At 37.8% G+C, this 17830-nt stretch overlaps 1 protein-coding gene across 3 annotated transcripts in view; it reads right to left on the bottom strand.

Annotated features, from left to right (window-relative positions):
* The window catches only part of FGF13 (fibroblast growth factor 13), a 590297-nt gene that overhangs the window by 359836 nt on the left and 212631 nt on the right, over positions 1-17830 (bottom strand). The window contains exon 3 of one of the 3 annotated variants that reach the window (NM_001139501.2): positions 15946-16055. The exons of the other annotated variants lie outside the window; for them this stretch is intronic. The gene's annotated coding sequence lies outside the window, so the exon portion shown is untranslated. The remainder of the gene's footprint in view (positions 1-15945; positions 16056-17830) is intronic. 3 annotated transcript variants of the gene reach the window in all.

Below are 17830 nucleotides of genomic sequence, written 5' to 3' on the forward strand. Positions count from 1 at the left end.
ATCATTATCTCCTCTTTCTGGTTCTAAGTCTTCTATTCTTGAATATTTAAAGAAAGTTAGGAGAATTCAACTCCATAGGAAAAGAAAGGAAAGAGAAAAAGTCTAACAGCATATCAAATGGGCACAATACGTGTTTTGTAATCTAACAACTAGGATTTCAGTTACATATATTACATCCGTAGATACTTACATTCATCACAGCTCAGTAAAGGAGACTGTGAGAATTAGCATATTCTATGGATTGGCATCAGCATGGTGCTAAGCAATGGAGAAGACACAGAGATGAATCATATGCGGTACCTGTTTTCATGAAACTCATATCTAGTGCAATCAAGTGCTGTAATTACAGGCACCCTAATTTTTAAACCCTAAATCAGAACACATAGTGAGACTGAGGATTTCAATTTCTTTTGTGGTGCCAGAGGCAGTCTGGAGAGTAAAGTTTGGAGGCTGAAATACTGAAGTTTCTGGGACACTTTGATGGTTGTGCTCAGGGACTGACTGACAAACTTCATCCTTCTGTGCCATTCAAGCAAATTGCTTCAAGCAGCCTTGGCTGATTTTTCAATGGAAAAACAATAATGAAAGCAATAATACTCCCCATGTGCATGGCACTTCACTGTATATAGAAAGCTTTCACATGCATTATCTCCTTTGAGTTTCACAGCAAGCCTGTGACATGTGCAGGAAAGGCATTATTATCTCCATTTTCCAGTTGATGGCACAGGCTCAGAAAGTGAGGTTGACTATCTTGTCCAAGATCATGTACATAGAAAATGGCAGAACTGGAATCCAAACTCAGGATTTCTGATTCCCAGCTCTTCTACTACACCAGAGTGTTAGAGAACCAGAGAACTGTAAAGAAGAAAGGCCTTAATCCAGTCTATCATTGATGGACATTTGGAACATGTATACATATGTAACAAACCTGCACGTTGTGCACATGTACCCTAGAACTTAAAGTATAATAAAAAAAAAAAAGAAGAAGAAAGGCCTTCAGTATTACTGGGGGCTCTAAGAAGGTTCCTTGGAGTAGATAGGATTTGAACTTCAATTAGAAGAATGGGTAGTTCTTTTGTCACAGATCCAGAGGAAAGAAAGGGCCTTGGAGGAAGAATGGTGTGAGCAAAAGATGGCAAAAAAGTGTGGGGAATGACATCAGGACTGAGAGCAGTTCACTGGGGCTGCAGGGGAACAAAATAAAAGCAATGTTGAGAATGAGGGTAAGAGCAAATTGTGAAGGACTTTGATGAATATGGAAGGTTTGAGATTATCAGAGTTCAAGGTCACTATGTTGTGTTTTAGGAAGCCTAAGCTGGCAGCAATGTGAATATACTGGGAAGGTGGCAGTTTGGCCTATATAGGAAATGGAGCTTGAGGGAGTTGCCTAAGACCAAGCGTATTAGATTTTGAGCCACTGTTCATTGGACACTTCTCACTTTCTCTTAATAGAAAAACAAATTAAAAATCTGAATTGCATTAGTGTCCATTCATTGACAACTGCTGTTTTCAGTCTGGTCTTCTGACACTGCATTACTTTTGTTATGCGCTGGACTCGGGAATGCTCCTGGCCCCTTGTGACCACCGGAAACAAGGCTCACATTCCTCTGACCTTTCAAATAAATCATTGTTAATAAATACGTTTACGCTGGAAACATGTGAGAGCTTTCAACAGCTCTATTTTAAAGAATATTTTTTAAAAATTGTGAATTGCAAAGACATACAACAAACCTACGTGTCCATCAACCAATGAGTGGATAAAGAAAATGTAGTATATATACACCATGGAATACTACTCAGCCATAAAAAAGGAACAGAATAATGTCTTTGGCAGCAACTTGGATGGAGCTGGAGGCCATTATTCTAAGTGAAGTAACTCAGGAATGGAAAACCAAATACCATATGTTCTTGCTTATAAGTTAAAACTAAGTTATGAGCATACAAAGGCATACAGAGCAATATAATGAGCTATAAAGACTCAGAAGGGGGATGGTAAAAGGGGGACAAGAGATAAAAAATGATATATTGGGTACAATGTACACTACTCAGGTGATGGGGGCACTAAAGTTTCAGACTTCACCACTATAAAATTCACCCATGTAACCAAAAACCATTTGTACCCCAAAAGCTATTGAAATAGAGAAATTTTAAAATATTTGTGCAAATTTTCTGCAAAAAAGCCCATTGAAAATGGATTAAGGTGAGCTGTTAGCATGATAGATGGAATGACATTTTACAAAAAGAAAATAGGCACAATAACACATTTGAGATTTGATTGTTGAAATTATAGTCCTTTTCTCAGTGGTCAGATGGAATAAAAGGTCAGAGTCACCATTTTCTCCACAGAAAGCTGCTGAAGTTATAATTTTAATATGGATGCATTCCATAAATAAAAAGAGGTTTTACAGTGCTCTATAAACTAGCCTCTGTTAGAATAGCAAATGTTCAAGTCATTTAAGATATTAACTATGACTCAGTGCACATTTAAGATAATCAAAATACTAACAATGAACTCTTTGAATCTGAATATTAGGAATGTAGAGAAGGGTAGTTTTGGAAGGTCCAGAAACTTTGTTCACATGATGAACACTGGCCCAAAGCAGTGCCTGGATAGCAACATGAGTGATGCTCACTTCATGTGGTCTGGCCGGTACTTCTTCACATTAAATGCAATTCGTTTTCTTGACGTATATTAAGTGTTTCTCTTTCCCTTAAAGGACTATTTAAGCTTTCAAAATATAGTGTGTTATAACATGAGGAAGGCATTGAAATGTCATCTTTATATAGCTCTGGTAAATAGTGGGAGCTTTTGCCATCAGTCTACAAAATCTTAAATGATCTTGCCTATGATCTACTACTTAATAGGTGAGTGGAATCAATACTAACTTGATGGACAGTAATTCCTCACATGAAAATAATGTGGGAAAAGGTTTCTTTTTGCCACAGCTTGCAACTTCCTCACAATCACATTCCATTCCTAAGAAATTGGCCTTTGCACCATAAGTGTCTTCATATACTTGCTCATGAATATCTGACCTTAATTGGTAAGAACATACCTATACATGCACAGGTATCAAAATATATTTGGCTGAGGAGCCTGGCTTTAAAGAAACATGGAGTAATGAAGGAGGATACCACAGATGAAGTGTGAGAAATGGGAGCAGAGCTAGAGAAAAAGAGATGAAGGAGTAACAAAGAGATGGACAGAGCTGGAAGAGACAGTCTTACCGTCACTGTTCTCATGAATTATTTAAGCTGGTTTACTATTCAAAGATTTAAGGTAATTGACAAAAGCAAAGCTGAAGTCTTGGATCTGTGCTGGCCAAAATGTTAGCCACTAACTATATGTCGTCATATAAATTTAACTGTACATTAATTAATATCAAATACGATGAAAAACTCCATTTTTTATTCAGATTAGCCGGATTTCAAGTGCTCAAGAGCCATATGTGACAACTGGCTATCATATCAAATAGCAGCTATCATAGCAGAAAGTGTGGATGTAGAACATTTCTATCATTGTAGAAAGCTCCAGTGGACAGCATTGTTCTAAACCATTATTTCAGACATGACTTGATGGACCGTCCATAACACTGCCAGGCCACTTCCTTCTGCAGGTCTGTTCTCTCTGCCTCATAACTTGCCTCTGTGTAAATTTAATCTACTTTCCAACCTGTTTAATCTCTATGGGCTAGCTGCCCTGGTTTTTTTTTTTTTTGAGATGGAGTCTCGCTCTGTCGCCCAGGCTGGAGTGCAGTGGCGCGATCTCGGCTCACTGCAAGCTCCACCTCCCGGGTTCACGCCATTCTCCTGCCTCAGCCTCCCGAGTAGCTGGGATCACAGGCGCCCTCCACCACGCCTGGCTAATTTTTTGTATTTTTAGTAGAGACGGGGTTTCACCGTGTTAGCCAAGATGGTCTCGATCTCCTGACCTCGTGATCCGCCCGCCGCGGCCTCCCAAAGTGCTGGGATTACAGGCGCGAGCCACCGCGCCCGGCCCCTGGTGTTCTTAATGTTAGATTACTTGATGGTTTCAATCAACAATGATGATAACAATAGTTAACATTTACTGAAGACTTATTATGTTTGTACCAGGTACTTCAAAGCATTAGATTTATATAATATATTCAATCATCACAACTCATTTTACAGAGGGGGAAACTGAAGTAACAAGAGGTTAACACTGCCTCCAAAGTCATACTGCTAGCAGGTGGCAGATCAATATCTGAACTGAGGCAGTTTGACCAAATTACTGAATGTTTTACAGGATTTTGAGATAATGGAGTAAAAAACAGAGTTATGTACTTTGAGACCTTACAACTAAATCTACAAAAATAGCAAAATTAAGTAAATAGTAAACTATTCCAAAAAAAATGATAAGCATCAAGAGATTTAGGCCCCATGATGAAAAGTGCATTTTCCACTAATATGGAGCAAGCTTCTCAAATTACAGGTTTTTGAATGAAGACTTGTTAAGTAGTCACCTTACCTGCTTCAACTGCAAGTAATGTAAGAGAACATACAAACAAACAACTACCATCTTGGCATTCTCTATGTACACACACCTCCCTGTAAAGAAATGTAAAGGTCAGACCTCTTCTATGAGAAAAACCCCACTGTGACTGGATAAAGAAATTACAATCGTTTGAATATAGGACAGATTAAGGAGACACCATGAGGCAGGAAGCACATTAGTTGGGAAATGAAAATACCTATATTCCAGTACTGGCTTTGCCACTGGTTAACAAGCATTGGTACCTGGGATTAGTCCATTCTTTTTTCGAGGTATCAGTTGGCCCAACAACAAAATAAGGGAGGAGTAGATAAGATCAGAGATTTTCTTTTTTTTTTTATATTATTATTATACTTTAAGTTTTAGGGTACATGTAAACAATGTGCAGGCAAATTTGGTTATCTGACTTTCCAAAGAGTGAGTAGCCTGGTATATCTTCCTACCATTTGTATATTCCTTTTTTTTTCCATTTCAATTTCCACAATGACCTTTTTCCCATTTGACAAAAGAGAGACAGACATACTTCTCATCCTGAATTTTAGTATGGAGCATTGTACCAGAGGGCAAGATCCTCTGGGGTACCAAACAACAAAGAAGGGATTCAAGGACACAGAGACTCCTGAAAAAGAGTCCCTGGAGAGCAAAGCAGAGTGTTTGGGTAAGAAATATTGATGAGGCAGTGCCTTTATCTCATCCAAGTGACAAACCATGGCAAGGCTCTGTACCTTAGCTACCTATCTTTATGTTAGAATTCAGTAGCGAGATGCTTGTCACAGGGGAATATAATGAAATCAGACTCTTTCAAACAGAAAGCCAGTCTGAGTTGGCAGGCTGGTTTGACAATGAGGACTGGTTTCACTATTGAGGTTACATGGCAGACATTTCCCATAAACTGAATGAGTTAATTGAGTAATGCCAAGGCTGTGATAAAAATGTACTTAAAATGTATAATCAATATGCAATATGCTGAAAGTTATTTCCTTCATAACCATTTAAACTCATGATTAAAATGTATATACATATATCTCAATATAAAGATGTATGAACAGTTATGTAGTTTTTCAAAATGTTTTTTTTCCTTTTAGAGGGGATATAAGCAAAAAGAGAAATTGAGGATCACCAAAATAGATATTCTGAAAAGTCTGTCCATCTCTATCAGTCTGGGCTTCTCTAATGTTCAGAAGCACTTTTTACCCATTCCTTTTAATCCCCGAGCCAAACCTTACCTGATTTTCAGTCTTCAGAATTTGTATTACTGGATTCTGCAAATCTCCTTGAAACATGTAGCATCCTACCTTTCAAATTCTTAAGTAGAAATCAAAAAGAATATACTACTTCATCTCTCTCCTGGCTCATGAGTGATGATCAATAATAATTTCATGTTGTCTTTACCATGAGGACTTGATTAGGGAGAGAATGTTTTCTTTTAAAAACCAAATTTTGCATTAGTTGACACTTTGTTCCTGCAATTAGCTACAAAATGCAATACAATTGCTAACACTCTTCCCATGAAACAGCTGCTTGATAAATTCTAATAATCTTCAGAGAATACAGAGAATAGTAATGATCGTCATCACTATGGATGCTTCCAGAAGTGTGGTTTTTTTTTTTTTTTTTTTTTTGCATTAATGGCAAGGAAAGCATAGAAGAAATTTGTGTTTAGGAGAAATACAGGTTGTTTTCTGGATGATAAGAATGAATAGGGTTTGCTTGTAGATGCCCATTCATTTTGGTGACTTCTTAATGTATGTATTCAGTTTACAGACAAAAAAATGAAAGTGAACAAAAAAGTCAAATAGAACAGAGAAGATAAATAGGAGGAAGGTTTCCATTCACATATTAGGAAACATACATTGAAATCCTAATATGTACAAGGCCTTGGGTTAAGCACTAGGAGTAGAAAAATACAAATAAGATGCAGTCCCTGCCCTCTACAAGCTCATGGTTCAATATGGGATGAAATCAGAAACAAAACTGTCAAGTTTTGTTTATTTCATTCTTATGGCAATGATGCCTTAAGAGTGGAATGCTATGAGAACACAGAAAAGGGACATCTGAGGAGATTCTAGGGCCAATAAGAAAAGCTTTTTGGACAAAGTAGTGCTTGTGATAAGACTGGAAGACTGAGCAAAAAATAGAGGAAAAGGGTACTCTAGGTAGAGAAACAACAGGTACAATGGCAACAGGATGTGAAAGAACTTGGCCCCGTTGGATAAACACAGCTGGAACAAAATTGTGTGCTTACACACACACACACACACACACACACACACACACACACATGCGAACACAAGGGAGGAGGGTTATCCTGATGAGAAATGAGGCAGTTGAGAATCAGGGCTCTATATGCCATACTAAGGAATGCAAGAATTATTCTGAAGAAATGATCCTATTTTGAGCAACCATGATATGTCAGGTATATACCAACATGCTAGGAGTGAATGGGAAGAAATGAGGATGGATAGGACATATTCTGTACATCATCATTCACCCACACAGCGTTCCAGAAAATGCTCAATCAGCCTGCTCCATCAGGCTCAGGTGATACAGTCCAACAGCCCAGCCCATTTGGACCACAGTTCACAGAGAGGTAAAAATTGGGAACCAGCCTACCTTATTAAACTCATTCTCAATACCCACCCACAAGCAAAAGACATTTAATTCTAGACTTGGTGGCCATGCCATGAAGCCCTTCTCATACTCAGTCCCCTTACCCTTTTTCTCACATCTTATTTCTCTCTCTCTCCCACATATCTCTTGGTTCATCCAATTCCTTTGCTCTTACCGCCTGCCTTAATCTGGCTCCCAGAATCAGTCACCAGTTGGTGTTCAGAATCAAGGATCACACTGGACATCTGATCAGAGCCAAGCAGTTTGACAAGGCTTGGAAGAAGAGTCAGAAAGGGTGTGTTAAATACTATTGCTGTGTGGCCACTTTAGCGAGCATGAGGATAGAAGTATAACTAACAGCGGAGGACATGATTAATGTGGTAGAATGGCCTCAGCTCAAGTGGCTTTTTATGGTTGAAGGATATAATCAAGGTTGGGAGAAGGTCGTTAAGGTCAGGAATGCAGGTGTGACCAGAGAGAGGTTGGGAACAGGTCTGGGAAATTTATCTGAGTTGTTGGGTATCATCAGGATTCAGGGATATGATTTTGTTAAGGGACGTAGTTGTGCTTGGAATATGGTGAGAGCTGAAAGATGGAATGCTACAAGGGACAGGGAGCCATTATACTGTATTTTTTTTCTCTGATTTCAAGCTCCACCATTGTCTGTGCTTTAACAATATTCTCAGCCCTTCTCCTGTGAAACGTTATTTTCCTTTTCCAGTCCCTCCACATAGTCAGGACACATCTATGTTAAAGAAAACAAAAGAGGACAAAACCCCAGCTCAGAAGGTGTGTATTTGAATGAGGAACAGATTATTACTAGTGGGGGAAAACGGCTTCTGCATTTCAGTAACGCATTTCTGCATGCAGACTCAGGGATTCATAGAGGAAGTTGCACAAGAAAGGCTGAAGAAATAATCATTTCAGCTAAATATGATAGAATCCATGCCCTCACAGACTGGTAGAAGAGAAACTTTAATACACATGATTTAGTGGCAGAGCAGTCATCAGCACAAACTGGAGTGGGAAAAGTACGCCCAAGGAATCAGAAGGCCAAGGTTCTCATCCAGGCTCTGCCACCAGATAGTTTAGAGTCTTTGGGCAAATAACATTCTTCTTTGACCCTCAATTTCTCCATCTCTAAAATGGGATTTGATTTGCCTTTCCCTGTTGATTAGTGATGGTGAACATCTTTTCATATGCCTGTTGGCCATTCGTATGTCTTTTTCTTTGGAGAAATGTCTATTTAAGCAATTTACCAATTTTTAAATGGCAATATTTGTTTTTTGCTATTCAGTTGTAGGAGTTCTCTACATATTTTGGATATTAACCTCGTATCAGATATATAGTTTGCAAATATTTTCTCTCATTCTGTACGTTGCCTTTTCACTCTATTATTTCCTTTGCTGTACAGATGCTTTTTACTTCGATGCAATCCCACTTGTTTATTTCTGCTTTTGTAGCCTGTACTTTTAGTGTAATATCTAAGAAATCATTGCCAAGATCAATGTCAAGAGGCATTTTCCCCATGTTATCTTCTGGGAGTTTTACAGTTTCATATTTTACATTTAAGACTCTTTTTGTAGTTGATTTTTGCAAGTGGTGGGAGACGGGGTCTAATTTTATTCTTTTGCATGTGGCTATCCAGTATTTCCAGCACCATTCATAGAAGAGGCTATTCTTTCCCCATTGTGTATTCTTGGCACCCTTATCAAAGATAAGTTGATCTTATATATATATATATATATGAGTTTATTTCTGGGGAAATGTAAATCAAGACCACAGTGAGAGATCATCCCATACCTGTTAGGATGGCTACTATCAAAACAAAACAAAAACTACCAGGTGTTAGTGAGAATGCTGAGAAATTGGAACCTATATACACTGTTGGTAGGAACGTAAAATGGGGCAGCTGCTATGGAAATCAGTATTGAGGTTCCTTAGAAAATTAAAAATAGAACTACCATATGATCTAGCAATACCATTTTTGAGTATTTACACAAAAGAATTAAAATCAGGATCTTGAAAAGATATTTGGATTCACATGTTCATTATAGTATTATTCACAACAGCCAAGATATGGAAACAACCAAAATGCCCATTGATAAATGAATGAATACAGAAAACTTGGTGTAGACGTACAATGGGATAGTGTTCAGCATTCGACTGGTATAAAGTTTCAGTTATGAAAGATGATTAAGTTCTAGAGATCTGTTTAACATTTTGCCTATAGTTATACGACATTTTGCCTATAGTTATCAATACAGTAGAATGCACTTAAAATGTGTTTAAAAAGAAAGGTCTCATGGTAAGTATTCTTACCAAAATTGCAAAAAATGAGGAGCTTTGACTAGTGAGCAATAAAGACCAGTGCTAGAAGAAACCTCAGCATTTTGTTTATGGTTTTGTTTTGCTTTGTTTTTTAAGAAGAAGCAAGGTAGGGTGGGCACAGTGGCTCACACCTGTAATCACAGGACTTTGGCAGGCCAAGGCGGGCAGATCACTTGAGCCCAGGAGTTTGAGATCAGTCTGGCCAACATGGCAAAACCTCATCTTTACTAAAAATACAAAAATTAGCCGGGCATGGTGGCACATGCCTGTAGTACAAAGTACTCAGGAGTTTGAGGCAGAAGAATCGCTTGAACCCGGGAGGCGGAGGTTGTAGTGAACCGAGATTGCACCACTGCACTCCAGCCTCCAGCCTGGGCGGCAGAGTGAGACTCTGTCAAACAAAGGAAGAAGAAGAAAGAAGAAGAATAAGGAGGAGAAAGAGGAGAAGGAGAAGAAGGAGAAGGAGAAGAAGGAGAAGGAGAAGGAGAAGAAGAGGAAGAAGAAGAGGAAGAAGAAGAAGAAGAAGAAGAAGAAGAAGAAGAAGAAGAAGAAGAAGAAGAAGAAGAAGAAGAAGGAGGAGGAGGAGGAGGAGGAGGAGGATGAGGAAGAGGAGGAGGAGGAGGAGGAGAAGAAGAAGAAGGAGAAGGAGGAGAAGGTGAAGGAGAAGAAGAAGGAGGAGAAGAAGAAGAAGAGAAGGAGGAGGAGAACAAGAAGAAGAGAAGGAGGAGGAGGAGAAGGAGGAGAAAAGCAGCAGCAGCAAGGTAAAGGTAAAAATGTACTGAGGTCCTATGTCAGTTCTGTGTGTGTGTGTGTGTGTGTGTGTGTTTTAATTTTTGTATTTTTTAAGAGCAATGAGGCAACACTGTCATCATTTCTCATTAAAATGAAAATACAACTGGGGATGTTCCCCAGTCACAAAAATTACCTACAGTACAAATAGGATAAAGGCAGTTTGGGGGAATATTAATGACATCACACTTAATCATACTAATGTCTCTTACTTAGGTAGTAGCTTCCTCCTGAAGAACTCAAATGATGCATCCCTACTTTTTTCATGCTTGTCCTCATGACACCTCTGTGAAGTAAGGAAACAAAACATCAACATCCTCCATTAGGCCTATGTGGAAGGAAAAGTTTAGGCTGTGTCTAGATCACACTGAATATGTTGTGACAAGCAACTAAATGTTTCGCAGATTTACAGAAAGGAACTGATGTCCTGGATTTTGGTTTTGGTTTCTGTTTGTTTTTAACCAGCTAAGTTAACAAGGTTCATAGAATCACAGAGTTTTACAGAAACACACAGAGAGGAGAGGACAGTGAATAGTGGCAGAGATGGGAAGAGGATTCAAGTCAGCTGTCTCTATCTATGGCTTTCCACCATGCCCCTGCCTACCTAATATTCCTGTTAAACAGGATGGAGTCTCCTGTGACAACACCTCTTCAATCATTCTTGTTTATTACAGAGATTAAAAATAAAAGTGATCCTTAATCTAAATACCCTACCAACCTCTGTGAGTACAATTGAGAAGATGAGATATATCAGTAGTCCAACAGGCTGGAAGAGCCTGAAAGTGCTTCCAGGTTTTGCACAAGGTCACACTGGACTATTCTCAAACCCCAAGACAATGGTTACCTAACAAATATGAGTGATTACTGAATGTGGTTCCTAATTTGCCTAAGTGTCTTATCACTTAGTCTTAAAGAAATGGGTTATTACTCAAACTATTGTTGTTAGAAAATAAGTAAATAGTAAATAAAAATATTATTTTCTCAGCAGAATGCCTAGCATTGGAATAATTTTATTAGGAGAGACTATCATTTTTGATAAATAAAAGCCATCTGGTAATAAAATTAAACGTGACTTTTTTTCTACAAGATGCCTTGAAAGGTGAAAAGACTGCTGGCATATGTGGTCTATATAAATATCATATAACTTGGCTACTTGAAGAAAAAAACAGCAAACAGCACACTGTTTATAATCGACTGTTGAATCTGACGGTTTTACATGCATTACTTCATTTTATTTTTACAACCAGACAACTTGGCATTATTATTACACTCATTTGACAGATGAAGAACTGGGGCATAGGGAAGTTAACAAAGCCAACTAAGGTCACATAGTTTGTAAATGATAGAGATAAAACTCAAACCCAAATAGACTAGCTCCTATGTCTATGTGCCTGGAAATGTACCAATGGTAGGATTGTTTGTTTTTAATTTTTTGCCCTATAAGAGCAATGGAGTTCAGCTCCATCTCCATGTCTGATCATGGTAATTACGACTAAAGCAGCACTTTGAACTCATCTATCACAATTTCTTTCATTTTGCTCATGAGAACACTGAGGACTAAGCCAGGTCTAAGATCGAACAATGAGTGAATAGCAGAGCCAGGAATTGAAACTATGTGCCATTACCTCACACTTCCCCAGCCTGAATTTCTTCCACTACACTATGCACTTGCCCTCTACTGGGCTTCAGCAGCAGCATGTATTACCCCAACATGGGAGGAAGGAGGGTACATTTTCCCACAAAATGGCAACATTTTAAAAATTGTTTTAAAGACGGGGTCTTACTATGTTGCCTAGGCTGAATTTGAACTCCTGGGCTCAAGCAATCCTTTTGCCTCAGCCTCACAGGTAGCTGGGAGTTCAGGGGCACAGCACTGCATCCAGCTGGAAACATTTTTTAAAGAGTAGGCTGACATACCAACTAAATAAATTTGCTCTAGAATAAATTTCTATAAAGCAACCTGATTTTCCCATTGAATCCATTTTAAAAATAGAAATGTGTTATTAGATTATCTTGTCACATGATATTATAAAAATTATATCAAAATAGTCATAGGAAGGAAACAGAAATTTAACAGAAATAGAACATTCTTAATAATCATCTATTACCTCACCATCTCTTCATACCAAATATTTAATACTGTTATAATGTTGCTTGTGCAACAAATATTTAAAATAAACAAAACCTGAAAAACCTTCAGAAGAAAGAAGACTGACATAGCTTTGTAAATGTATGAATCATTCTGAAGGCATGTATGGAGTTAAATGGCCCAGCCACACTTCAGTTCCTCTACATACTGAAGAACTGGAGATACTGGCAAGAGACAGAAAATGTCTCTAAGATTTCTCTGAAGTATAGCACAAATGTTGTGTCACATCCATAAAGGTAGCAGCAGTGTTGGCAGATGTGAGAGTAAGCATTCAGTTTTTCTAGAAATCTAATTATTTTAAGTATTCCGATCTCCCTGGGTCACTGTTTGCTCTGCCCCATCCTTTCCCTTTCCTTATAGTATTCACTCTTAGACTCTGTTCCTACTCTACTAATAAGCCTCTGGGTTATTCTGAATACTCTGCCAGAACTGCTGCAACCAGCATAAGCAGCAAAATGGAAGGTGCAAATCCTGCAAGTAGCTCCAGATGTGCAGTTCCACAGAGGGAATTCATGGCTTAAATTCATTTAATTAAATTTTAAAATTCAAAATTGGATAATTTTCAGCTAAAGTAAAGCTTTGGCTGATGTTCATTTTGTTGAATAATCTTAATACTGACCAAAATGACTTCTTAATGACTCAGATAGTAGATAAAGTTCTGATCCAAATGATGTATAAAAAATGTTAACACTGGAAAATTAGCTGATGATAATGTTAGTCAGATATATCAGGGAAAATCAGTGAATTATTGAACTCATATTGGAAATTTCTTAGGGATCATGGTGAAGTTAACATTTGTTTTCTTAACGGCTATTATGCAGCTTTTGGCTATAAAATACATGTACATTTTGATGATAAACTAAGCATATATAAAACACGCTATTCATTTGTGAGTTCATTCTCAATGTTGATGAGGGGACAAAAACATAATCTATATGACTTCCTTTGTAACCTACAATACCTTGGAGGATAGGAATGAATTTTATCATTACAATAATAAAAACAGCCCATTGTTTTATTGTTACACATAAAAATAATAGTTTGATTTGTACAGCTTAGTTATGCTCTCTCTGGTTTTCACCTGTTCCCTAGTTTCCAACAACAAGCAGAATCATTTTCCACCTAACTCACTATATTATCTTTCACAGTTTCCTTGGTGGACTCTTTTACATCTACACTCCTTGCCTAAATCTTGGTCTTCCAAAATCTCCTTTGTTAACACCTTCCTCTTCTTTCTCTATACTCACTCCTGCTGTGAATATCATCTGCTCCCTGGCTCCAACTAGCCATATGCTAACATCTCTCTCTAATCACCTTATTTTCTGTAGCAAATGCATTTGGCACTTAAGTCAGAAAATCCGATTTCTAATTTTTATTACAGGTGAAAAGGCATATACCATGTGTTTCATAAATATTTGTTGAATGAACAAATGAATAACTGAATGCAATCTATGCTATATAATGATGAGCTATTATCATAGGCTCCTCAGCTGGGATCTCTAAATCATGTTCTATAAAAATGTAGGAAAGCCCACAGATTGAAAATTTATCAAAATTTGTTACTATTTTTCTAAAAGGCTCCAGGTTCTGAATGTAAATATTCTCATTCAAAATAGCTTTTCTCTGCCATTAGTATGCAGAGGGAGTATGCAGGCATTAGTATATATGATTGCAACATGTGCATCACACAGAAAGCCCAAACTTCCTCTAGCTCTGGAACACACAAACATCATTTACTACTTAGGTGAATGGGACAGTCAATCTACCTAGCTGCCTCATTTTAAAATACAATCAAAGAAAGCAGGAGCTGAAACTAGCATAGAGTTTTGAGGTTTAAGTAGAGTGGAAGAGACAAATGCACACCATTGCACCATTCTGAGCATGCTTGCTGGCATCTTCCTTATTGTGGCTCATCTCTTAATAAATTTTTATACTTCATTTTCTCAACACTAGGAAATATATACAAATATCCTGAAGATTGCTGAGAACAGAAATTAAGAATGACTAAGTATTCATTTTAGAAGGATGAGGGCTAAGGTTTTTATACTCTTAAAATGTATCCTTGGCTGTCGGCTACCACTTATAGATGAGTAAAATATATGCCACAGTGAGTTGGGAAATACGTTTCTTCTCTTATGCTAATGATATGTTTTTAATATCTGCAACCAGGAACAATGAAAAGAAGAAACTAAGAGAGAAACGGCATGTGCATTTAACTACCAGAAAGGACTCTTTACAAACTGGATCAAAATGAAAACTACCCTCCCTAGAAGAAGAACTCCATTTTGAAACTGATTTGGTATCCTGGGATTTTATGTTACTGCTGAGTTGTACTGGCCAGAATACCAGGAGGCTATGGCGATCACAACCACACTTCCTACTGGATTTCCCTACAGTTGAAGTGAACAGCTGGTGAGGCCCATCTTGAAACATTTCCTAACCCAAAATATTCATTTAGAAGGGATCCAGCGCCTGGTAGATACTCAATAAACAGTAACTATTGTTACTAATTTTTCCATATTTAGAAATTCCCGAGCTAAATAAATTTCTTGGTATTGTCATAGATATCTAGAGTAGGCAGATTTCATCTGAAAAATAACACTCAGAATTAGAGGCCTTGCAGAGATAAAGCTATAAGAGAAATTATCACAGTTATGGGAAATAGCACAGACATCTAACCATAATAGGAGATTGATTACTTTTGATAGTTGAGCCACACAATGATACTATGCAGACATAAAAATAATTATATAACACGATAATGACATGGAAAAACAATCATAATTTACTATTAACTGAAAAAAAAAAATAGGTAATACATCTTTGTGGAGTTAAATGGCCAGCCCAGAGTTATAAAACTACTTCGAAAAAGCACCAGGAAATAACCAAGATTCATCCATACCCAAACCGTGTTCACACTATTGTGTCACATTAAAACCCCAAAATTCAAGTTTGGAGTCCCCAAATAAGCTATAATATCCACTGCCTTGAATTAAGTGAAGACTTAGTATAAATTTCCAGGCAGATATTTTTAAAGGCTTTATAAAAACAAAGGAATGCTGAAAGTATGTTTTTGGCATCTTAAAAGAATCCTGCCTGAACAGTATGTCTCAAGGCCTAGAGACTTCCTAATATTTGAAAAATTAAAGACTTCCTTTTTTTCCAGAAATACACTGAATGATACCTTCAGAGCAAGGTATATGTACTGTGGGATTATGTGCAGGGCACTTAATCATAAGGGGCCAAAATTATAGTCTATAAAGGGTAAGATTTGGAGCAGATATTCTATAAAATCTTCTAGCTTCCTGGGTTAAGATTTAAAAATACAGCCCTTACACCTATGTACCCATAAAAATTAAATTATTAAAAAATAAAAATAATAAATAAAAACATAGCTTTCTGAGTAAAGATGGAGAAACACAGGCTTTATATTTAGACAGACTTGGTTTTTAATTCTAACCAGAGCCCCTGTATTAGTCCATTTTCATGCTGTTGATAAAGACATACCCGAGACTGGGCAACTTACAAAAGAAAGAGGTTTAATAGGACTCACAGTTCCACGTGGCTGGGGAGGCCTCACAATCATGGAGGAAGGCAAGCAGGAGCAAGTCACATCTTATGTGGACGACAGCAGGCAAACAGAGAGCTTGTGCAGAGAAACTCCTGTTTTCGAAACCATCAGATCTCGTGAGACCCATTCAGTATCACCAGAACAGCACGGGAAAGACCCGCCCCCATGATTCAATCATCTCCCACCGGGTTCCTCCCACAACACTTGGGAATTATGGGAGCTACAAGATGAGACTTGGGTGGAGACACACAGCCAAACCATATCAGCCTCCATTACCTTATACAGCACCTCTGTGTGAATTAATAAGCTCTCCCCTCAAGGTAGACACAACTCTGTAGGCACATGTAGACAGCCTTTGGGAGAACAAAGTCCCCCTTCCTTGGGAAAAGACAGTCCCAAGCAAGGGCTCCAGGTTTAGTTAGCAGATCATACGCTGGATTCTAGCTCCCATTACCTCCCTCGGTATGCATCCTTGTGCACTGTGCAACCACAAGCCTCCTTTGAAATGGAGGCTCCAGGCCCAGTGCAGGCCCACAGTTACTAAAGCTCGAAGTCAAACTATCAAGAGGAAAAGATAATAGAGCTGGACTGAAATTTAGTAGTCACTACTCCGTTGATGCCTTCTCATGATGTTATAGCTGTTAAGTGCTAATGGATGCCTGCTACTTGAGAACCCTGGGAGAAATATTATTAATGATTACAGAAATAGAGTGTATGCTTTCCTCAATTTGATACTTAAAACACAAATTCCTCTCATGGAATGAAATTGGGAACCCTTGCACCCTTTGAAATAAATGGTTGTTATTGCTCTCATATATTGCATGCCTACTGTGTGTCTGGTAATTTACACATATCTTGCAAGAGATATGGAGCATTCTGGTCAGGACCCTTTTCTTCCAGTCTTGGCTCAGTGTGTGACCCTGGACAAGTCATTGCCCCTCTCTGGGCCTCATTTACTCCTCTAAATCATTCAGGCATGGGCTAGATCATCTCTAAAGGTCTTTTCAGCTCTGAGTTATATGACTCTATAGCTCTATTTTCTTGTAGAAAGTAAGTCAGATCTCTGAATCAGGTGGAGAGTAGGAGGGAAGCAGAAATAGTTTCAGTAACAATGGAGATGGCTGGCATTTTGACACTCCCTGAACATGACTATATTTCCTTAAAGACAATCAATAAGGGAAAGTTTGGGAAAGTATTTCAAGTAGCTATAAATGTCAGTTGTATAATCTTATGTAATATAACTTACATTACCAGTGACCTCCAGAAACATCATCGTAACGCAGCCTTCTCCCAAATATCACCAGAAAATAAATACATTTCTGTTTCATCTGTATAACATCTGTGCTAGATAGTTGAAAAAGTCCCCTTTTGCACTGGTTTGCATTCCCATCAGCAATAAGGAGGAGTAATTCCCCACAGCCTTGCCAAAAGAATATGTTGTCATATTTTTAAATTTTCACCAGTTTCATAGGAAGAAAACAGCATCTTGCTATTGTTTTAATGTGCATTTCTCTAATTATAAGTGAGCTTAGGCATTTTTCCTATATTTATGGGACATCTTTACATATACACATATATATACATGTGTGTGTGTGTGTTTGTGTGTAAGTGTGTGGGTGAATTTCCTGTTCATGTCTTTTTTTCCCTTTTCTATCAGGTTTTTAGTCATTTAGCTGTCGATTTAGGAGTTCTTTATATTTGGGGGATATTAGTCTTTTGTGATATGGTGCAAACATTTTCTTCCTGTTTATCAGTTGTCTTTCAATTTTGTTTATCGTGTTTTATAGTGCAATTGTTTTAGTTTCATGTAGTCTAATTTATCAATATTTTATGTATTTAGTTATTTTTGCATATGGAATTTCATGTA

This window comes from Homo sapiens, chromosome X (assembly GCF_000001405.40).
Source record: "Homo sapiens chromosome X, GRCh38.p14 Primary Assembly".
NCBI lineage: Eukaryota > Metazoa > Chordata > Mammalia > Primates > Hominidae > Homo > Homo sapiens.